At 38.8% G+C, this 24,281-nt stretch overlaps 1 long non-coding RNA gene across 5 annotated transcripts; it reads left to right on the top strand.

The window, feature by feature from the left end:
* The first annotated feature begins 1,997 nt into the window (after positions 1-1,997).
* On the top strand, positions 1,998-24,005 carry LOC105372532 (uncharacterized). Of its 5 annotated transcripts, XR_937266.3 has the most exons (6): positions 2,015-2,101; positions 4,101-4,231; positions 4,364-4,490; positions 16,067-16,127; positions 18,431-18,674; positions 23,697-23,774. It is a non-coding gene; the product is annotated as an uncharacterized LOC105372532 (long non-coding RNA). The 5 variants fall into 5 exon arrangements; XR_937267.3 differs by lacking the exon at positions 18,431-18,674 and having other exon boundaries at positions 23,697-23,780; XR_937268.3 differs by lacking the exon at positions 4,364-4,490.
* Positions 24,006-24,281: the final 276 nt, after the last annotated feature.

Here is a 24,281-nt window from a genome sequence, read left to right as displayed (position 1 = left end):
TTCTTGCATCTGCTCCGAAGAGGTCTCCCTATTACAACTTCCTCTTTTTCACTTCTTCCATGGAGTCATTCACCCAGTCTTAGAAAATCTGACTTTAGTATCTCTGGAATTTATTTACTAATGCCAAATACCCTCCTTGAGGCCAGAGATATGAATAGAGAGAGGTACCAAGTGTGGACAGAGGCTGGGTGGAGTTGAGGGGATGAAAAAATTTCCAATGCATCTAGTACACAGGATGTTCATGATCTGAAATATGTCTACTTGGAGAGAGGTACCAAGAGTGGACAGAGGCTTGGTGGAGTTGAGGGGATGAAAAAAGTTCCAATGCATCTAGTATACAGGATGTTCATCATCTGAAACATGTCTACTTGGCCAGCTTCCTCATTCTGCATACACAGTAGCCCACCTTGACCACCGGCTGGCTTTGCTCTTTTCTGCTGCTCTTGCCTTGGCTCCAGTTTCCCTCAGGCTCATTTGCTTTTGCCTGGAGTCTTTATCTTTGGCTCATTCTATCCTGCTCTTCCTTCACAACTCAGCTCAGGTGTGAGTCCCTCTGAGACATCTTTTCTGACCCCTGTAGGCTGTCTTAGGTGCCCTCTAATGTGCACCGCTGCACCTTGGGGTCAATAAGCTTTTGAAACATTTGTCACTCTCTATGACAATTGTTCATTATCTTGTTAGTGTAAGTTCCTTCACCTACACCACAATCCATGAAGAACAAGGTCTTGCCTTTTACATCCCCGAGATTCCTACCACTATGTACAGGGCCTGCCATGGGATAGGGACTCAGTGCATGATTCATTAAGAAGTGAGCGAATGTGTAGCCAAAAATCCCAACCCAGTTGTGTGAACTTGAGAAAATCACTCGATCTTTTTGAACTTTAGTGTTTTTCATCTCTAAGAGAGATTTCTAAGCAGTACCGTTTGTTTTCCATCTCCCACTTTAATAACCCAACAAAAAGTCATTTAGCCTGAAATTATGCATAGAATACTCCACTTCAAAAAGAAAGTGGTCTCCTTGATAAGGTAATCGGCGAGGGTTTCTGAGAAAGGTTGTGGAAACAAATTCTTTTGAAGCATTACTCCTCCATGTTGGGTTAGATTAGCAAGAATCTGCATGAAGATTGGAGGACAGATGTGCTCTTTGTAGTCCTAAAGACCACTTTCATACTGTAAGACTTGAAAGCGATCTTAAAGCTTACTCTAGTCTAACCCACCTCTTTTACAGATAGAGAAACACACCTCTCTTGATCTGTAATTTATGTGAATGCTTTTATCAAATCTTAAACACAATGTACTATTATCAGCAGTTAACCAAAATGGCATGCTCCTTAGCAATGGGGAAAATTAGGAGACTCTATGAAAACAATGCTGGCTTTGCAGGTTGTAATTTTTAAGGTTTATTTTGGAGGGATGACCATAATAAAAGAATAGAGGCAATGAGAAAGGCTGCAGAATGTTTACCCACTTTAAAAACAAATTACAGTGTCTATCTGGAAAACAACATAGATATTTGATCAAAGAAAATGTATTCATTTAGTAAAATGTGGGCTTCTATTGAGAAATAGAGATTTTCTCACCGACAGACCTTAAAAAAGTGACTCCCAGGAGCAGAGTGTAGAATGCAATAATGTCAAGTCATGGGATATGCATTCATGTCATTTTCTGACAAGGGTTTTTTGAATGTAATCATAGTTATTAGTTGCAATCTTGCACAGGCGATCCAAACAGTGATAGCAGTGCATTGCAAGCCCCTTTACAAACTCTGCATGCGGTAAAAAGCTCCTTCACAAGCCAGTTAGTATTTACATTCCACGATACCTCAAATATTGCTTCTTTGCTTTCGGAATGGTTGATGGCAGACTTTATACACTGAAGGAAATATTTAGTGAACTTGATTTTTATTTCCTAAAACTCTAATCCTGAAACACTGAGGTGTCTCCCCCAGAAACGGTTGCAGGTGATTTTTGTTTGTTTGTGTTCTGTCATGACAACACAGAACACAGTGGGGAGAGGGACTCACCTGAAATTGCTGGTTAGAAAGGGAAGCAGTGGCCCACTTTTCAGTAGATTTTATACTTCTCAAGACGTGAACATTCCGGTTAGTGTGGCTGGGAGGTAAATCCTAAAATAGCCAGTGCCCCTCTGAGTTTTAAACCTTCAGAGGGGCACTGGCTATTTTAATAAAACCCTGACTTATGGACAAGTGGCTATGGAAAGGCAGTTTAAAGCAGCTTCAAGTGCGTAAAATAAAGTGAATTAGGGATGGAAGTATTGATTTGTAGGCAATTCCTTATGCAAAACAAATAAGAATGATTAGCAACATGTCATAATTAGGGTTTTTAAAGTACTTGAACCTAAGTTATTCCTTTAACTAAGGTGAATTGGTAGCTCTATGTTTTTATTTACTCCGTTAATTTATTTAGCAAACAGAAAGAATTACCCCACAGAAAGATGAGTTTAATTCTGTTTTTGTTTGTTTGTTTGTTTTTCCCCTTCTGAGCTCTTCCCAAACTCAAATCAATGGATGTCAGTGGGTTAAGTTCTGGGACATCTTTTTGGGGCATTCTCTAATCCAGACTGTTTGCAAATCTGAGATATTTTCCTCTGAGTTCCCCCCATGTAGTGCCTTCAATCAGTTTAACATCAGTTTAACATGGGGGCTGAGGCAGTTTGTTCATTGTTTTAATACTGTTCTGGAGTTTCCAACTGATAGAAGCTTCACAATCTGGACAGGGCTCATTCTTTGACAAAGGACAAACAAAGGTAACTTGGATACCCCTATAGCAGCATCTACCAAAGTACTAAAGTGGTAACCTGCCCTTCAGGTTGTCAACAAGAGAGTCTTTTTCCTTGGGCTTTATCGATAGACACTGCATTATTCTATATCATTTAATGACTGCCACACATTCTTGGTAATGAGCTCACTATTTCTACCTAAAGAGCCCTGTTTGAGCCTCCTCTAGTTCTCTATTTCTTCATGGAAGGAGATAGGCTAAGACAGTTATGTCACAGTTACCTGGGCCCTGCCCTGTGTCGATAGGAGTTACAGCTTTGCCCCTGAATGAGTCTTCTCCAAGCCTAGGAGCATTTCCAGCCTGATTATTTCTGGGCTCTAGGACACTCTTGCCTACACTGGGTCCTGAGAAATGCACAACCGGGATGGCAACATTAGAAACAGGGCTCTGCCTGTGTGTTCTCTGGACCTCAACATTTCCTGCTGAGGAGCTGCCACCATGGCAGAGAATGTGATCAGCTGAGAGCAGGAAGGCAGTGACTTGATATCGATGGGTCCTTTACGACAGGAACAATGGGACGCTCAGTGAAAAACACGTAGTAAACTTGCACCTCTTATTTTTCAATCAGGGACTTGGAGACTTGAGGTGAGACAGGATTCTGGTACCAATGGCAAGGGAAATTGTGACCATGGAGTTTTGAGGACACCTTGAATGAGGGGTTCTAGTCCTATGTCAGAAGTGGGCTAAAGGTGTAGGTCAAGGTTAGTGCGAGGATTTTATATCACAGCCTTCATAATCGGGACAGATGACTAGGACATTAGTTTCCTTTTCCCTAGTGTTTCCCTAAATATATTGCCATCTGATCGATAATTGAGTCTGGGGTTTCTGTCTTCTGGTTCATCTGTGTCCTCATCAAAAACTTCAAGCTTCACTGTTTCTGGGAACCGGAAGGGGTGTTTTTTAAGCCCCTGGGGCATATAATTTACAAGATATTTTCATCTGACTTAAGTGTCCAGGTGTATATGAGATATTTTGATCTTAGCTTTCATCTAGCAAATAGGCCACTCAAAAACAAAGGGAAATACAACTGATATGTCATCTGGTTTACAGTTACTCTTACCTTTTGTTTTTCTATCCCCTTAGCAGGGTCAAAGTTGTTTGGCTGTTTTGGTTAAACACATAATCCCAAAACAAGGTTATTAGCTATGGAGGAGATGAATATTGGAAAATGCCACTAGAATAAGTATTAAAGATGAAATCCAATCTGACCAAAATGGTAGGATTGTGGCTATGATTCTGAAATAAGAAAAGATTTTGGCTCATGGACCCCTACTCTGATATACACCATGTTCTGCCTCATAGGGGCAGGTAAAGTTCCTATGGAAAGTGCTTAGTGTCCACGAGATTGGCTATAAAAACAACCGTGAATATGACTAGCTTTGAGAGTCAGAAACTCTGATCATCTGCCAAGGCTCTCCACCGGCAAGAAAAAGGTAATCAATTTGTGAGAATAAAGTTTATGATGTAGAATAAAGCTAGACTCTTTGATCTTGAGATGAGCAGATATCCCAGATCTTGGGGGTTATCCAATTAAATCAAGGATGTTTTTGGCTTTGTCTTTTCAGGTGAAGGCAGAACTGGCACTGATCATCTTCTGAATTCCCTTTCAAGGTTGAAAATATGGATAGCACAGCCCAATCTTTGCTATTGATGTTCTTATGAGCCAAATGGTTGTTGCAAAATAAGATTCTAGTATGTGTTTCTTTGTTTCCTGATATAATCCCTTAAACTAGTCTTTAAATTGGTGCCATGCATGTCACTGATACATTGACTTACCCCATGGTATTAAAGGACTAAGGATGTGTCCTCTAACAGAGACAACTGAAAAACACAAAGTATTTGCTTAGCCAGTAATGGTATCAGAAATGTGTCAAAAATCTTCTGCCCACTGGTCCATGAACCTAGGCTGTAGTCTTCAGTGGCTATTTTTGCTGAGTCATTTAAGCTGGGAGGACAACATTTATTTCCCTTCTCACCTGAAGTCTTTTCCACTCTTTTAAATTCAGAGTGTTACTGAAAAAAGACACTCTGATATTCAACCCCCGTGTGCTGGGAGCTCCAGAACTTTCACAGAGCTATAAAATCTTCAGCTCAAAAAGGCACTAGCATGAAGTTCAGATGCCCTGTTACAGAACAAAACAATGTGATGAAAAGCTACTGGGTACTATTCATGAAAACCCTGAGATTGAAGAACCACAAGATGTTTCATCCTGATCTAAGTAACCAGATACTTGTCAGATATTTATTTATTTACATATAAATGTAAATGTGAATACAAATGTAGTTGAATACATCTAGCATTGGGTGAAACTTCTCCTAATGAGACAAAATTATAGCTAATTCTCAAAGCAGAGAAGGACACATAAAATGTGGTGCCCCATTGTTTTTTGGGGGGGAGTCCATCTTGAAGTAGATTTCAAATGTAAGTGGTTTATTTGGGATGTGATTTCCTGGGATAGATCCCAGGAAAATCCCAGGAAATCCCAACGGAGGAGGTAGAGAGAGAAAGGAAAGAAAAGAACACTCAACTAAGTGTGTTATGGAACAGGCTACCACTGAAAACAGTTGAGTCCCTATCTTTCTGGGGAACTCCAGGACAGAGCATAGAATATGCCACCAAGTTGTCCTACGTGAGGGGTGTGAAAGTGGGGGTATTTAAACACCCACTCCTATCCTCTCTTTCTGAGGGCTGTTCTCAATGGTGTCAGCATCTCAACATTTCTGATCTGCCCCATATGAGGTTGAAAGAAAGCCTTTAGGTGAAAGTCAGGTGTCTTTGGTAGGATGCTGTACGTGTGTACTGGAATGGTGGCAGCTAAGGGGATGAGGCCATGGCACTTACAGCATCTACTACAATTCTCCTATAATAACCAAGAGGAAAGGTGTGATTTCCTAAGTTCTAAAGCCAAGTTGTGGGACCCTTTAAGGGAAGATTTATAAAGTCTTGGGCTGCTATGCTATAAAAAAGGGAACCTGATATCATCTCAGGATGGATTTGTACCAAGGGTTAGAACCTGCAGAAAATTTCTGATTGAAATAGAGTTTATTGTCAGAGTTCATGGAAGTTCTTGACATAGGTTCACAAGAGTTTGGCATTGTACATGAACATAGAGTCCAGTGTCCTCTTTTAGTTCAATGATTTATAAAGATAGAATTCCCTCTAAAGTGGTTCATGCATCAGGCTTGGGAAGTATTGTGTAGTACTGTTGTTTTTGTAACCCTTAGAGAGTGAGAACAAGAACTTTAACTGTTCCGGTGGCTCCATGTGTAGGATCATGGAGGTTAATGGAGATGCATGAGTTACAGGGATTCTATCTAGTAAAGTAGTGGAATCTTTACCATAAAAAGGAGTTGGAAGCATGGATAGACCAGTGCCAGGGCTAAATGAAGACTCCGCTGTCTCTCTTTAAGGGAGCTTCCCACAGAAGAGCCAGGGCAAACCTGAGCATTATCCCAGGAAAACCACAGATACCTACTGGAAGACCAGCTATATAAGATGGAAACAGATCTGCTGAGAGCAAGAAGAGAGTCACATCCCCACAACAATAATAATTACTGTATCTTATCATTAGGAGGCACTTGCTGTTTCTCTTTTCTACTGGAAACATTCAAATCTAGAAGAGTTAAGGGAAGAAGAGATCTTCACACAGATTATAAAGTATCAAACCAGATTTGATTAAGTTTTAAAAATGGAAATTGATTACAATGGTTATGACATTGAGCCAAAATTGCAATGGGATAGGAAAAGATGATTTAAGGTGCTGTGTTTAATAACAGTGATTTAAAATAAAAGGGAAGGTTTTTAATGGTTTACTGCTCTCTAGAATGTTTTCTACATTCCTAAAATAGTATCTGTACATAGTAAATGTTTAGAAAATGTTTGTTGAATGAACGAATATATATTCCAAGTTAGTTACTATTGTACTAACTGTTTGTAGGACAATACAAACCAACCAAAATATAAATATAATTGTTTATGATAAAAATACTTTTGTATATCAGTGGTTCCAGTGTTTCTAAGCTCATGTGATGATTTTCTTTCTTTTTTCTATTCTCCAGCCAAACTTCCCCTTGGAATGCCCTACCTAGTTTCTGACCCAAGAGTCTGACTTTATTGGGTTCTTTACCTGATCTCTTTTTTAAAGATCTCAGCAAAGTTTACCCTTTTTTTTTTTATTATACTTTAAGTTTTAGGGTACACGTGCACAATGTGCAGGTTAGTTACATTGTATACATGTGACATGCTGGTGCGCTGCACCCACTAACTCTTCATCTAGCATTAGATATATCTCCCAATGCTATTCCTCCCCCCTCCCCCCACCCCACAACAGTCCCCAGAGTGTGATGTTCCCCTTCCTGTGTCCATGTGTTCTCATTGTTCAATTGCCACCCATGGTGAGAATATGCCGTGTTTGGTTTTTTGATCTTGCGATAGTTTACTGAGAATGATGATTTCCAATTTCATCCATGTCCCTACAAAGGACATGAACTCCTCATTTTTTATGGCTGCATAGTATTCCATGGTGTATATGTGCCACATTTTCTTAATCCAGTCTATCATTGTTGGACATTTGGGTTGGTTCCAAGTCTTTGCTATTGTGAATAGTGCCGCAATAAACATACGTGTGCATATGTCTTTATAGCAGCATGATTTATAGTCCTTTGGGTATATACCCAGTAATGGGATGGCTGGGTCAAATGGTATTTCTAGTTCTAGATCCCTGAGGAATCGCCACACTGACTTTCACAATGGTTGAACTAGTTTACAGTCCCACCAACAGTGTAAAAGTGTTCCTATTTCTCCACATCCTCTCCAGCACCTGTTGTTTCCTGACTTTTTAATGATTGCCATTCTAACTGGTGTGAGATGATATCTCATTGTGGTTTTGATTTGCATTTCTCTGATGGCCAGTGATGGTGAGCATTTTTCCATGTGTTTTTTGGCTGCATAAATGTCTTCTTTTGAGAAGTGTCTGTTCATGTCCTTTGCCCACTTTTTGATGGGGTTGTTTTTTTCTTGTAAATTTGTTTGAGTTCATTGTAGATGCTGGATATTAGCCCTTTGTCAGATGAGTAGGTTGTGAAAATTTTCTCCCATTTTGTGGGTTGCCTGTTCACTCTGATGGTAGTTTCTTTTGCTGTGCAGAAGCTCTTTAGTTTAATTAGATCCCATTTGTCAATTTTGGCTTTCGTTGCCATTGCTTTTAGTGTTTTAGACATGAAGTCCTTGTCCATGCCTATGTCCTGAATGGTAATGCCTAGGTTTTCTTCTAGGGTTTTTATGGTTTTAGGTCTAACGTTTAAGTCTTTAATCATCTTGAATTGATTTTTGTATAAAGCGTAAGGAAGGGATCCAGTTTCAGCTTTCTACATATGCCTAGCCAGTTTTCCCAGCACCATTTATTAAATAGGGAATCCTTTCCCCATTGCTCGTTTTTCTCAGGTTTGTCAAAGATCAGATAGTTGTAGATATGCGGCATTATTTCTGAGGGCTCTGTTCCGTTCCATTGATCTATATCTCTGTTTTGGTACCAGTACCATGCTGTTTTGGTTACTGTAGCCTTGTAGTATAGTTTGAAGTCAGGTAGTGTGATGCCTCCAGCTTTGTTCTTTTGGCTTAGGATTGACTTGGCGATGCAGGCTGTTTTTTGGTTCCATATGAACTTTAAAGTAGTTTTTTCCAATTCTGTGAAGAAAGGCATTGGTAGCTTGATGGGGATGGCATTGAATCTATAAGTTACCTTGAGCAGTATGGCCATTTTCACGATATTGATTCTTCCTACCCATGAGCATGGAATGTTCTTCCATTTCTTTGTATCCTCTTTTATTTCATTGAGCAGTGGTTTGTAGTTCTCCTTGAAGAGGTCCTTCACGTCCCTTGTAAGGTGGATTCCTAGGTATTTTATTCTCTTTGAAGCAATTGTGAATGGGAGTTCACTCATGATTTGGCTCTCTGTTTGTCTGTTATTGGTGTATAAGAATGCTTGTGATTTTCGTACATTGATTTTGTATCCTGAGACTTTGCTGAAGTTGCTTATCAGCTTAAGGAGATTTTGGGCTGAGACTATGGGGTTTTCTAGATACACAATCATGTCATCTGCAAACAGGGACAATTTGACTTCCTCTTTTCCTAATTGAATACCCTTTATTTCCTTCTCCTGCCTAATTGCCCTGGCCAGAACTTCCAACACTATGTTGAATAGGAGTGGTGAGAGAGGGCATCCCTGTCTTGTGCCAGTTTTCAAAGGGAATGCTTCCAGTTTTTGCCCATTCAGTATGATATTGGCTGTGGGTTTGTCATAGATAGCTCTTATTATTTTGAGATATGTCCCATCAGTACCTAATTTATTGAGAGTTTTTAGCATGAAGGGTTGTTGAATTTTGTCAAAGACCTTTTCTGCATCTATTGAGATAATCATGTGGTTTCTGTCTTTGGCTCTGTTTATATGCTGGATTACATTTATTGATTTGTGTATATTGAACCAGCCTTGCATCCCAGGGATGAAGCCCACTTGATCATGGTGGATAAGCTTTTTGATGTGCTGCTGGATTCGGTTTGCCAGTATTTTATTGAGGATTTTTGCATCAATGTTCATCAAGGATATTGGTCTAAAATTCTCTTTTTTGGTCTCATAAAATGAGTTAGGGAGGATTCCCTCTTTTTCTATTGATTGGAATAGTTTCAGAAGGAATGGTACCAGCTCCTCCTTGTACCTCTGGTAGAATTCGGCTGTGAATCCATCTGGTCCTGGACTCTTTTTGGTTGGTAAGCTATTGATTATTGCCACAATTTCAGATCCTGTTATTGGTCTATTCAGAGATTCAACTTCTTCCTGGTTTAGTCTTGGGAGAGTGTATGTGTTGAGGAATTTATCCATTTCTTCTAGATTTTCTAGTTTATTTGCGTAGAGGTGTTTGTAGTATTCTCTGATGGTAGTTTGTTTTTCTGTGGGATTGGTGGTGATATCCCCTTTATCATTTTTTATTGCGTCTATTTGATTAATCTCTCTTGTTTTCTTTATTGGTCTTACTAGCAGTCTATCGATTTTGTTGATCCTTTCAAAAAACCAGCTCCTGGATTCATTAATTTTTTGAAGGTTTTTTTGTGTCTCTATTTACTTCAGTTCTGCTCTGATTTTAGTTATTTCTTGCCTTCTGCTAGCTTTTGAATGTGTTTGCTCTTGCTTTTCTAGTTCTTTGAATTGTGATGTTAGGGTGTCAATTTTGGATCTTTCCTGCTTTCTCTTGTGGGCATGTAGTGCTACAAATTTCCCTCTACACACTGTTTTGAATGTGTCCCAGAGATTCTGGGATGTTGTGTCTGTGTTCTCGTTGGTTTCAAAGAGCATCTTTATTTCTGCCTTCATTTCGTTATGTACCCAGTAGTCACTCAGGAGCACGTTGTTCAGTTTCCATGTAGTTGAGCAGTTTTGAGTGAGTTTCTTAATTCTGAGTTCTAGTTTGATTGCACTGTGGTCTGAGAGATAGTTTGTTATAATTTCTGTTCTTTTACATTGGCTGAGGAGAGCTTTACTTCCAAGTATGTGGTCAATTTTGGAATAGGTGTGGTGTGGTGCTGAAAAAAATGTATATTCTGTTGATTTGGGGTGGAGAGTTGTGTAGATGTCTATTAGGTCTGCTTGGTGCAGAGCTGAGTTCAATTCCTGGGTATCCTTGTTGACTTACTGTCTCGTTGATGTGTCTAATGTTGACAGTGGGGTGTTAAAGTCTCCCATTATTAATGTGTGGGAGTCTAAGTCTCTTTGTAGGTCACTCAGGACTTGCTTTATGAATCTGGGTGCTCCTGTATTGGGTGCATATATATTTAGGATAGTTAGCTCTTCTTGTTGAATTGATCCCTTTACCATTAAGTAATGGCCTTCTTTGTCTCTTTTGATCTTTGTTGGCTTAAAGTCTGTTTTATCAGAGACTAGGATTGCAACCCCTGCCTTTTTTTGTTTTCCATTTGCTTGGTAGATCTTCCTCCATCCTTTTATTTTGAGCCTATGTGTGTCTCTGCACGTGAGATGGGTTTCCTGAATACAGCACACTGATGGGTCTTGACTCTTTATCCAACTTGCCAGTCTGTGTCTTTTAATTGGAGCATTTAGTCCATTTACATTTAAAGTTAATATTGTTATGTGTGAATTTGATCCTGTCATTATGATGTTAGCTGGTTATTTTGCTCGTTAGTTGATGCAGTTTCTTCCTAGTCTCGATGGTCTTTACATTTTGGTATGATTTTGCAGCGGCTGGTACCGGTTGTTCCTTTCCATGTTTAGTGCTTCCTTCAGGAGGTCTTTTAGGGCAGGCCTGGTGGTGACAAAATCTCTCAGCATTTGCTTGTCTGTAAAGTATTTTATTTCTCCTTCACTTATGAAGCTTAGTTTGGCTGGATATGAAATTCTGGGTTGAAAATTTTTTTCTTTAAGAATGTTGAATATTGGCCCCCACTCTCTTCTGGCTCGTAGAGTTTCTGCCGAGAGATCCGCTGTTAGTCTGATGGGCTTCCCTTTGTGGGTAACCCGACCTTTCTCTCTGGCTGCCCTTAACATTTTTTCCTTCATTTCAACTTTGGTGAATCTGACAATTATGTGTCTTGGAGTTGCTCTTCTCGAGGAGTATCTTTGTGGCGTTCTCTGTATTTCCTGAATCTGAATGTTGGCCTGCCTTGCTAGATTGGGGAAGTTCTCCTGGATAATATCCTGCAGAGTGTTTTCCAACTTGGTTCCATTCTCCCCGTCACTTTCAGGTACACCAATCAGACATAGATTTGGTCTTTTCACATAGTCCCATATTTCTTGGAGCCTTTGTTCATTTCTTTTTATTCTTTTTTCTCTAAACTTCCCTTCTCGCTTCATTTCATTCATTTCATCTTCCATTGCTGATAACCTTTCTTCCAGTTGATCTCATCAGCTCCTGAGGCTTCTGCATTCTTCACGTAGTTCTCGAGCCTTGGCTTTCAGCTCCATCAGCTCCTTTAAGCACTTCTCTGTATTGGTTATTCTAGTTATCCATTCATCTAAATTTTTTTCAAAGTTTTTAACTTCTTTGCCTTTGGTTTGAATTTCCTCCTGTATCTCGTAGTTTGATCATCTGAAGCCTTCTTCTCTCAACTCGTCAAAGTCATTCTCTGTCCAGCTTTGTTCCATTGCTGGTGAGGAACTGCGATCCTTTGGAGGAGGAGAGGTGCTCTGCTTTTTAGAGTTTCCAGTTTTTCTGCTCTGTTTTTTCCCCATCTTTGTGGTTTTATCTACTTTTGGTCTTTGATGATGGTGATGTACAGATGTGTTTTTGGTGTGGATGTCCTTTCTGTTTGTTAGTTTTCCTTCCAACAGAGAGGACCCTCAGCTGCAGGTCTGTTGGAGTTTGCTAGAGGTCCACTCCAGACCCTGTTTGCCTGGGTATCAGCAGTGGCGTCTGCAGAACAGTGGTTTTTCATGAACGGTGAATGCTGCTGTCTGATCGTTCCTCTGGAAGTTTTGTCTCAGAGTAGTACCCGGCCGTGTGAGGTGTCAGTCTGACCCTACTGGGGTGTGCCTCCCAGTTAGGCTGCTCAGGGGTCAGGGGTCAGGGACCCACTTGAGGAGGCAGTCTTCCCGTTCTCAGATCTCCAGCTGCATGCTGGGAGAACCACTGCTGTCTTCAAAGCTCAGATGGAAATGCAGAAATCACCCATCTTCTGCATCGCTCACGCTGGGAGCTGTAGACCGGAGCTGTTCCTTTTCGGCCATCTTCAGTTTACCCTTTTTTCATGTCCTAGTTTTGCTCAATATTTCTTCCAGCAGATACTCCATACCCATTTTCTCTCCTATTATCCTATATTACATCTTCACTCCTCAGTACTCCTAATGTCTTCTATTTCTGAACTGTTTACTTGGTTGAGCTTGCTTCTTCCACTTGAAGGTAAGCTCCAGGAGAGGAGAAACATTTTCTGTCTTGTGGCAGAGACTTTTTCTGTCATGCATAGACCAGTCCTTTGGGCAGAGAAGGTGGCTTGGTTTGAATACACAGAGACAATAACTTTGGTTCAGGTAATTTCTTTGAGATGCAACCCAAGAAACAGAGGTGAGGGATTGGGAAAGTGAAAGAGGGAAGAGAAGACAACCAGTAAAGGGTGTGGTGTTGAGCAAGTCTCCATCATGTGCAACTGGATAACCCCACTGGGAAAATTGCATGGGACACACCTCAGAATTATTTCACTGAGGCAGTGAAAAGCTGAAGTTCTTATCCACGGGTTCCCACCCCTCATTGGTTGATGCTTGCTACAGGGAACAGTAACTTCTCATCATTTCTGGTCTATCCCTTCAGCCCATGCTTGCAGCCACAGAAAGCCTTTAAGCCGAGAGTCCCAAATGCTAAAAGTGGGAATTGTTTAATGAATCCGTAGACAATTTCCAGGGAAGGCCAAGGGGCTATGGTGGTGCACTTACATATCTACTAGAGTAGGTATTGGATAAATGTTAAATGAGTAAATAAATCACCCAATTTGAAGGAAAACGTAAAATGAATGGTTTATAAAGGCAACATAAAACTTTTTATTTTAACGTATAATGTATCCTTAAAATTACAGGCCAAGTGTTATAAAGGATTTTAATTTTTTGGTATGTGTCTGTGTGCTTGTTTTCAGAACAGCCTAGAGAAAGTAAACAGTTAAAGTTGAGAGCAAAATAAGTTTTTGGATCAGTTACACCAAAAAGTAAATTACTTACTAACAGACTTTCATGTAGCTCTAAGAGTTTTATTTGGCGTGGATGTTTGCATATATAGAAAATGAGAGCTAATGTTATTGTATATTTTATTGTTCATTTAGGAGCACTGTTTGGTTCTGGTAATTTCTTTTTATGAAATGACTTCAGCGAAGCTAACTCTGTTTCAGATAGTCTCAGCTCGTTCCTTGCTCTGAACCTTGTGCTGTAGTTGCTCTTTGTTTTTGGCCTTGCAGTAACATCTGGGCAAAAGAAATAAATCTATTCTAATATATGAATCAGCAGCAGCACCAGTAAGTGTTCTTCAGGGGTTTATCCCCTTATTCTCTCACTATCTCCCAAGGCACTCCTAAACATTCATCCAATGCCGACTGTGGCCTCCCAACTCCCATCATACAGAAACTCTGGAACCACTGCTTTATCTGGATCTAGTTTATGATTCCAGCATAAACTCTGGGCTCTGTAGCTGTTCTGCAGTGCTCCAGCTATCTGAGAATAATCAGCACATTCTAGTAGTGGAGCAGATACGAGACTGTTGAAGTTCATGCGGATGTTGGCATGGGACCCCTGGAGTTTGATGTTGTATAGGAACATAGGATTTAGTGCCCCCATGTGGTTCAGTGAATTCCAAAAGCAGAAAGCTCACTAAAATGGGCCCTGTAGACCTGCAAACAAATCTAGAAGTTTGTTCCTTTTTAACTTTAAAAATATGTGTAATAATTTCAAGTTCACAGAAAACTTACAAGAATAGTACAAAAACTTTCATGCACTCTTTACCTATATTCATTGACTTTTACCATTTTGCTATACTAGTCTATTTTTCTTGTCTGAACTATTACATGGTAGGTTGAGGACAACATGCTTTTTTATTTCTTGATGCTTTAATACATATTTCCTAAAATCAAAGACAATTTCTCACATAAAACTAAACAGTTATCAAAATGAGGATATTTAACATTAAATTTAACACTTCCACATAATCTGCAGTCCATAATCCACTTTCAATAATTGTCGCAGTAATATCTTTCATGAAAAAAATTTAAAAGTTTGAACCTAACTCAACATCATATACCATCTTCAGCTGTTATTTATTTTTAGAGCTTAATCTGTGATAGCTGCTCAGCTTTTCTTTGTCTTTTGTAACTATGACATATTTTTAAAATACAGGCAAATATTATTTCTTTGGTTGGTTGGCTGGCTGGTTGGTTATTGATTATATGGCATGTTTCATGGCTATGACTGCAGCTCCCAAGGGACTTAAAGAGAAAGAAATTCAGCACAAAAAGCAGATCGAAAATTGGAGCAGATAAAATGTCCTAGATGCCTTGAAATATCATGGAATCATATAAAAATGCAAGTTCCAGTGAGAAAGTTAACATCTAATGTGAAGATTCTCTCAACAAAATATGGGATGTTTTAATCCATTGCTGTCTCCTCCAAAGGGGTCACCATCTCTTTTCCTAGACAAACTGGCATTCTCATCCTATCGCCTTTTGACAGGAGTTAAATTAACTTGTGTCTCCATGAATCTCATTGCTCAAAACACACCTCTCAACAGTCATGAAATATGAGAATCTCCAATGCAACCAGCTGCTATCTTATTTATAGAGTAGTTGATAGCTCTCCTCCTTCCCAGCTCATGTGAAAGTATGAGGTACATGGTATATTATTATTCAAATGCATTCCTTGTTTTTGCTCATTTTCTTATTTGCTTGTTTGTTTTTTTTTAATGCCAAATAGTTCTGCTTTCTATAATTAGTAGTTATCAATATTAAATTACTATTAACAGTTATCAACCTGGCTTTAACTTCAGGTAAGAGCAAAGGCATTATAGGACATAAACAAGGTCACAAAATAAAATGCAGATACTCAAAATTGAAGTGTTTCCACAAGATTTCATCAATAGCTCTAAAACGTCCCAGTCCTGTCGTAGGCATTGGGATTCCAAAATTAACCAAGCAGATATACCTCCTGCTCTCTGGAAGTTTACAGTTGAGTGAGAGAGAAGGAAAATTAATTATGCAATTATAATGGATAAGAAAAACTATTAGGGAAGTACATCATGATGCTGAGGTACATAGGAGGATATGCTATCTAGATCTCAGAGCAAGGAAGTCTTTTCAGAGGAAGAAGTTTCTTCAAAGCTGGGACCATGAAGATAAAGAGAAGATAGCCAGACCAGGAGTGGTAAGGGGAAGAGTGGTTCAGGCAGAAATTATGGTCTGTATAAAATCCCAGAGGAGAAATAGAGATAGAAAAATGATAGGAAATGAAAGGCTGGTGATGTATCAGTCAGCTGTAAGAATGCTGTGTAACAAGTCACCTGAAAGTTCAGTGATTTCCTACCATAAGCATTTATTCTTTCATTCATAGGTTGGCTGATCTACAATGAGCTCAGAAGGATGTCTCAGATTTAGACTCTCATTCTTCTAGGTTTAGGTCCAGGTCCAAATGTGGATTGCAGTCAGGCATTATTCCATGTGTTTATTTTAGGGACCATGCTGAAATTACCCAGCAGTTACTGACAGCAATCACTCAGACATGTTCTTCTCATGACAGGTCATTGTGTCTAAGCCCAAAGCCATGAGATGGAGGAATACACTCTTCCCTCATTGAGGAGGTATGTGTGAATATTTATTCAACATAAACCTAGACTATCACATATGATACAATTGGATTATGGAATATAAAGACTGGAGAGATAAGCAGTGGCAATGCCAGCCATACACAGAGTTCAGACTTTATCCACAAATGGTTTTTAACTAAGGAGAGAGACAGAGAGAGAGAACCATATTTGCATTGTAATGTGACCATATTGGTTGCAGTTAGGAGACTAGACTAACACAGGACTACAGTGAAGCTGGGGAAACTAAGAAAGATATTATGAGGACACATTCATCTTTGAAATCATCTCAGATAAACTAAGAAAAATATAAACTAGCGAGACATTCAAGTCTACATTAGTGGTTATTTTTTACATCTTCAGTCTAACAGGTCAAAACAAAAACCAGGATTAGCAGAGGGTTCAAAGGCCATAAACATTGGATTGTAATTGGTGGTGGAAATTGTACTGAATTTACCTTGAATACTCTCATTTTAACTATTTTATTGGTTGTTTTATAGATAATAGCTTGCTTTATAGTACTCTTGCTGTATTATTTTAGGGTTGGGCTCCAAGAATTGTGTCTTATAGGATATTACTACTCAAAGTATGGTCCATGGATGAGAAATATCGGCATCACTTAGATGCTTAGAAGTCTGTCAAAAATTCAGAATATTAGACCCTAAGATAGACCTGTGAAATCAGAAACTACTAGCATTTTAATAAGTTACCCAATTTAGATAGAGAACAACAAAATTAAGTTTTCATATATCTAACTAACCTGTCTCAATTCCATTCATTGAAAACTGATTCCTATGCACAATGGAGTCTAAACATCACTGTTATAGAATATTTAAAGAGGGACTACAAATCAGAAAAAAAGGCATCTTCACAGTCATTCAGTCAAAGCTCGACATTTATAAGATGTTATTGTCAGCAAAATGGTGCATGCAAAGGTGTATTCTTCCAGACCTCTCACATCTAAGGAGCTTGCAATCTTGCTGGCTGAAAGTCACATAAAAGTTTCATACCTAAATATTGTGATGTATGTTAAGAGTGTTAATATAAAGTGTTAGATCATTAGCAACAATCAGTATTGCCTTGGGGTTAGAAAACTTAGTTGAAGGTATGATATGCAGAATAGACTTTGAAGTATTGCTGGGATTCTGAGAGGCAGTTATGAAAGGAGAAGACATTCCAGGAGGCAGTTAAATGCAGAGAGTTGAGGAAAGGCAGGTGTATTAGTCCGTTTTTACGCTGCTGATAAAAACATATCAGAGGCTGGGGAGAAAAAGAGGCTTAATTAGATTTAAAGTTCCACGTGGCTGGGGAGGCCTCAGAATCGTGGCGGGAGGTGAAAGGCACTTCTTACATGGCAGCAGCAAGAGAAAATAAGGAAGATGCAAAAGTGGAAACCCCTGATAAAGCCATCAGATCTTGTGGGACTTATTCACTACCATGAGAACAGTATGGGGGAAACTGCTCCTATGATTCAAATTATCTCCCATTGGGTCCCTCCCACAACACATGGGAATTATAGGAGTACAATTCAAGATGAGATCTGGGTGGAGACACAGAGCCAAACCATTATTAGCAGAGCATATAAACAAACAATGGCCGGGCTCAGTGGCTCACGCCTGTAATCCCAGCACTTTTGGAGGCCAAGGTGGGTGGATCGTTTGAGGTCAGGAGTTTCAGGCCAGCCTGGCCAACATGGTGAAACCCCATCTCTACTAAAAATACAAAAATTAGCTGAGTGTGGTGGTGGAATCCTGTAATCCCAGCTACTTGAGAAGCTGAGGCGGGAGAATCGCTTGAACCCGGGAGGCAGAGGCTGCAGTGAGACAAGATCATGCCACTGCACTCCAGCCAGGGCAACAAGAGCAGAACTCTGTCTCAAAAACAACAACAACAACAAAATGCAACAATAAGGCTCCAAGAGAAGTTTAATCGGATCAACCAAACGTGAAAGAAAGCAGAAGTTGGAGTATGCTTTGGAAACAGCTGGTTTAAAATGGTACACAAAGGAAACTGAAGTTAAAATTAAAGATACAAAGAGAAAGTAGGTGGTTTGAGTTAGGGAAAACGGTGGGATTCTACAGAGAGTACTGGTCAAGAGCACATTGTCTGGAGCCAAAATATCAAGGGTGAACTTTCCACTCTGCTCCTTAGTAGCACTGTGACCTTTGGCAAGTCATTTAATTCTTTCTAAGCCTGGGGTTTTCTCATTAGTAAGAAAGGAAGAGATTATACAAATCTTGCCATAGTTTTATACAATAATGGCTCCCAGAAAATCTTACCTCCTGCTTTCCATTTCCAAGTTGACTCTCCTATAAGTCATGAAACTTATGAATTTGAAGCAAGTAGAAGCCTGCTAAGTTCTTGTGCACCGAGGCTTTTCTTTTGGAATGCCGTCTTGAGACCACCATGATATGGAGAAACTCCCCGGGAAGGAGCCCAGGTGAAAGGCCATGTGGAGAGAGAGGTCCAGCCATTCCAGGCTTTGCAGATAAGTTCAAACCCTGGCCAATTAGCCAGCTTAATGCAGCATATGAGGGAGCCCAGGTAAGGCCATCAGAAACACCACCCAGACAACAGACAGAATTACAGCAATGAATGAATCCTTATTGTTTTAAACTACTTAAGTGCTCAAATGTTATGTTACATGGCAATAGATAACTGGAACATAGCTCATGGATTGTTACGTACATCACCTCATTTCACCTTCATGATATTCTGATGAGATATGTACTTACTCATAGGGAGAACTAAATAAACATTAGATACTATTTTTTAACCTTGAAGACTCACCTCATAAAATACAGAAGCATAATATGTAAACTTTATATGCTAGCCTACAATTTGTCTTGTCTTTCTTCCTCCTTTCTAATTTGAAAATATATCTTTTGGGGATTTTTTCCTTGTCAGCATACAAAGCTCTACTTCATTCTTTGTAATTATCTAGTATTCTATTGAATGGATATTTCATAATTTATATAGCCATTCCCCTTCTTATCGACTTTACATTGCTTCTCATTTTTTAAAAGATTATAGACAATTTTGTAATGAGCATATTTACACATATGTTTCAGTGCACATTTATGAGTGTGTTTGTAAGATAAATTCCTAGAAGTAAAATTTCTGGTTTAAGGTATATGCACATTTTATTTTGTGGTAGATTTTTAATCATTACTTTGATATCCAATGAAGTTGCAGAAATTCATACTCTCATCAAGAGCATGTGAGACTGCCTAGTTCCCTTAACAAATTGTTAGTAATACTATAAATTATTAAATATTAGTATGGCTTCTAATTTGGTGGGTTAAAAATTCTCATTTTTGTTTTAATGTGCCTCTACTTAATAGGACTGATGTTGAACAGCTTTTTGCTGGTCTATAGACTATTTGTAGTTCTGTTTTTTTGTCTTATCTGTTGTACATTTTTCTGTTGTGGTTCTAGCCTTATATTATTGATTTGCAAGAGTACTTTTAAAAATTATTTTACTTTAAGTTCTGGGATACATGTACAGAGCCTGCAGGTTTGTTACATAGGTATACATACGCCATGGTGGTTTGCTGCACCTATCAACCCATCATCTAGGTTTTAAGCCCCGCATGCATTAGGTATTTGTCCTAATGCTATCCCTCTCCTAGCCCCCCACCCCCGACAGTCTCCAATGTGTGTTGTTCCCCTCCCTGTGTCCATGTGTTTTCACTGCCCAACTCCCACTATGAGTAAGAACATGCAGTATTTGGTTTTCTGTTCCTGTGTTCGTTTGCTGGGAATGATGGTTTCCAGCTTCATCCATGTCCCTGCAAAGGACATGAACTCATCCTTTTTTATGGCTGTGTAGTAGTCCACGGTGTATATGTGCCACATTTTCTTTATCCAGTCTATCATTCATGGGCATTTGGGTAGGTTCCAAGTCTTTGTTATTGTAAACAGTGCTGCAATAAACATAGGTGTGCATGTGTCTTCAAAGTAGAATGATTTATAATCCTTTGGGTATATACTTTATATATTAAGGGAAATTACTCTTTGTTCTTACATGCTAAGAATATTTTTTCCAAGTTTATCATTTTTTGACCTTTGTTTATAATATGCCATTGTTGCCACACTGAACTTTGCATTTTGTATAGTCAAATGCATCAGTCTTTCATATTTTCTTTGGGTGGTTTTACAGTTTAGCTTTATTTAAGTGCTCAAATCTTTGTTGCATCTGAGTTTTTAAATTATTTTTATATTTTTATAGATTCAAGGAGTACAAAGGCATTATATTGCATAGTGATGAAGTCTGGGCTTTTAATGCACCCATCACCCAAATAGGATACATTTTATCCAGTAGGTACATTTTTAACCCTCACCCGACTCCCACCCATCTGCATTATTTTTCAGTGCAGCAATTTAGATAAAGATCCTCTACATTATATCCAAATATCAAGCTAATATTGTCGCAATTCCATAAACTAAAATATCTATCAATTCACAATGATTTGAAATCTCATTCTTATGAAATAGTGAATTCAAACTCATTTGTGAGCCCTTTTCTCTTTCATTCACCCTGCTTTTGTGCATGCCCCTGTACCAAAATGATTTCATTATTGTAGCATTATGGAGACCAGTAGACCTAGGCTACTGAATTGCTCATATAAATAGATGAGAATATATCATTTACATATATTTATATTTTCAAAAGAAGTTTACACTAGTCCACTCTAAAGAAAGTACATTTTTATAGGGATTTACAGGTCAATTTTGGAGTGACACCATAAAGTAGGGAACCGTCCACACCACAACATGTACGTCTTCTCCATGTCCCCTAGGGCATGTTTAAAACATCCTCAGTAGTGGCCAGTATTGACCCCCTGAAGATACATTTGCATTTTGGAAATGGCAAAAGTCCTTCAGAGCCAAGCAAGCTTAATAATTATGGGTAACTTGAGTAATCCCTTTATGATCAAAACCAATATTAAGGCTGAATAACACTGCTATTCTAGAAAACTAGTTCTCTAAAACATGCATAAAAGAGGGCTAATGGAAGAGAAAACGGCTCACAAATGAGTTCGAATTTAGTATTTCATAAGAATGAGATTTTAAATCAGACAATTTTTCAAAAGATGTATCCTAAATATGTTTGATTAACTCCCTTGCAATGGAGTAGACCTATAGCCTCTCAAGGTAATTATATTGAACTGATAACACTCAGTTGCACATGCATATCTTAGTATATTTATTTAACCATCATCAAAATAATGCAACCTAATGAAAAATGCAACCTAATGAAAAATGCTCAATATGTTAAATACAATTGAGCACAAATTCTACATTCACCATGATTACATTCATTTAAAAATTACCATGCTTTTGACAAAAATGCAAAAAGAAACCTCAGATAAAATTGAGAGATTTAGAGAGATGTACTTTTTTTCTTTAAAATTGAGTTAATGCTGCTATAAGTGTTTCTGCTACAGTGTTTCTCTAATAAAACAAATTAAGAGCTTAATTACTTTGTAGTCCTATCTCCTAAAGAAGAACCTTATGAGAAATACAAAGTACAGATGTGAAGAAGATGCTTTTCTGGCCAACATGTAGAGTTGCACCATACAGTAAGAACTCACAAACAGAAACCATAGTCTAATGGTCTGTCTTCAGACCTCCAGCTCTGTTGTGTTACCTGGGGCTGATGTGACTCTCAAGATTTCTTATCTGTAAAATGAGATCATTAGAATCGCTTCATGGGCTAATTTAGAACCTTGCTCATCAAAGTGCAGTCCTTGGGCCAGCAGTGTCAGCATCATCTGGAGCTTGCTAGAAAAGCAGAATTTCAAGCCCGAGACCTCCAGAATAACAATATCTGAGGGTAAAATCCAGCAATCTATGCTTTCACAACCTCTCCAGGTAGCTCTTATGCATGCTGAGGTTCGAACACTGCTGGTTAGAGAACTAAATGAATCAGATATAATTACAAACACTGCTTTCCATGAGTTCATTATCATTAGGTAAATCAGCTACAGTGAAAGTTAACCATGTGTATTGGAGGCCTGGGAATAATCAATTTTCTCTTAATTTTGGGTATTTGTTTCTACTGTTTTTTAATCTTAGCATTATTTTGTCTTAGACAAGAAATTTAAATGTTTAATAGAGAAATATTCTTCCTTATAATTTCATAAATATTTGTTGACTTCTACCTATGTCCTGGGCCTTGCATTATATGCTGGGGTTCAGTAATAAAGATTGTAAGAGAGAAAAAGTGATATCTTTTATTTACCCATTGCAAGGTTCATGGCTGACACTTCCATAACAAAAGACAGAGTAACAGGAGAAAAGACAAATTTACTTAACAATGTTCGATGTGACATGGGAGTCTTCAGAAATGAAGACCCAAAGACCCAGGGAAAACGATGTATTTTTATATGAAGTCTGATGAAATAAGTGATGGTTGTGGGGAAATGTCATTGGACACAAGGGGTGTGATCTAATGGTAATAAACTGTGGGATACTTTAGCAAGGTCTATATGTTCATATGCTTGTCTGTATCTCTGCATGGCGTTCCTTCCCACAAAGAACAGGACACCTGTCACAAGAGGATCTTCAGGGGCACATGGAGGAGGCCAGACAGTGACCTTCCTAGGTTGGATGGCTTGGTTCTCTGGGGAAAGGGGTTCTAGTTTTTATACCCAAAAGGGGGAGAAGGAGGACGAGAAAGTAGAGTGGAAGAAGGGCAGAGAGATCTTTTGTTTCTGAAACCCTCACAATCTCCTTCAGCTCAAAAATATGCAGCATGCCAAGGCACCATGCCTCAAGGTATCATGTTTGGAACCCAGATTACATAGCCTCTGCCTTCAGAGAGCTTATAGGCCAACATGAAAGACAGGCAACAAACCAATAATAACAGATGTAGAGAGGCCTATCAAAGAAACACCACTAGTTGTTATGAAAATATCTGACTTGGGTCTCCTACCTTTCAGTCAGAGGGTAGACATTCAAGGATCCATAACCCCCTGCATTTCATTTGCATTTAGGACATATATATGTTCATATTTTCACTGTTCTGGAGAGAACATTTCAAAGGTTTCCTTGAAACTCAAACATGTTAAGACCTCTGCTAAAATCAACATTATTGGCCAGTTTATTATCCTGGTGTTTTGAATCCATCGTCTGGGTAAGATTTCTTTCCCCGCACCACTCTCTCACAAGAGTGCTTGTTTTGGCTTGAATTACCCAGGTATAGATTCAGGAGTGTCTCATCCACAGCATGGAGATATCCCTTCTTCCTTCTTCTATAAAAAATTGAAAGCAAATTGTCTCCAGATATAGGCTTGATCAGGTGCGTGGCTGCACTGCTTAATTATAAGATGTGGTTGTAGATGAAATGTCCTAAGATGAGCTCTCTTAAAAGGACCTTCCCTGACATTTGTTCAACATTTAATTCACTGTTCTTGGAGATGAACAAGCAGTTCTGGTGATGTAGACTTAAAAGCCTCCAAGTTGATTAAAAGCTGTGCTTAAATCTGGACCAATTAATAAAAAGCCCCACAGGGTTAATGTTAAGGGTGGCTGTTATTATGTTTTTCATCTTCATTTCAGGGTTTCTGCAAGTGGATTAATCAGCCCTGTGTATTCATTCTACCACCAGAGCAACAATTCATTTTGATTATTATGTTACGAATACCAGCGACATTCAATAGACCTTGCAGAGAAATGTATATGAGCTTGGGCAAATATCCACTGTAGCACACGAGACAGATCAGATAATAATAGCAGCTGCAGGTTCTGGAACATCACAGAGTCCCTCCATGATACCCACTGAATTGGAATGTCAACCTGGTGATGTAGTTCATCCTTATCACCTAAAAAATTCTACAGTAATGGCAAATATAGCACATGTGTTTAAAAATCAGTATTCATATCACCTTTTGTACAGTCCAAATAGCTTTAATAGTGAATGTCCAAGAGCCTTTACATTAATTGCTAAATGCCGATAGTAAGAAAGTAAATGAAATTTAACCCCAACCCTCCCTAGGGGCTGTGGGATATTTAATAATCCTAAGCCAATTAAAAATAGGCACAAAACCCTTATTTTTTATTTTCTCACTAATAAACTACTGTCTCAATGGGCCTCAGTTTACCACAATTGATTCTGAGTTAGGCAAGTTTTAAATCAAAGCCTCA

The sequence above is a fragment of the Homo sapiens genome, chromosome 20 (genome assembly GCF_000001405.40).
Source record: "Homo sapiens chromosome 20, GRCh38.p14 Primary Assembly".
In the NCBI taxonomy this organism is placed as follows: domain Eukaryota; kingdom Metazoa; phylum Chordata; class Mammalia; order Primates; family Hominidae; genus Homo; species Homo sapiens.
Note: the sequence above shows the minus strand (reverse complement) of the source record. Positions and strands in the feature narration are given on the sequence as shown.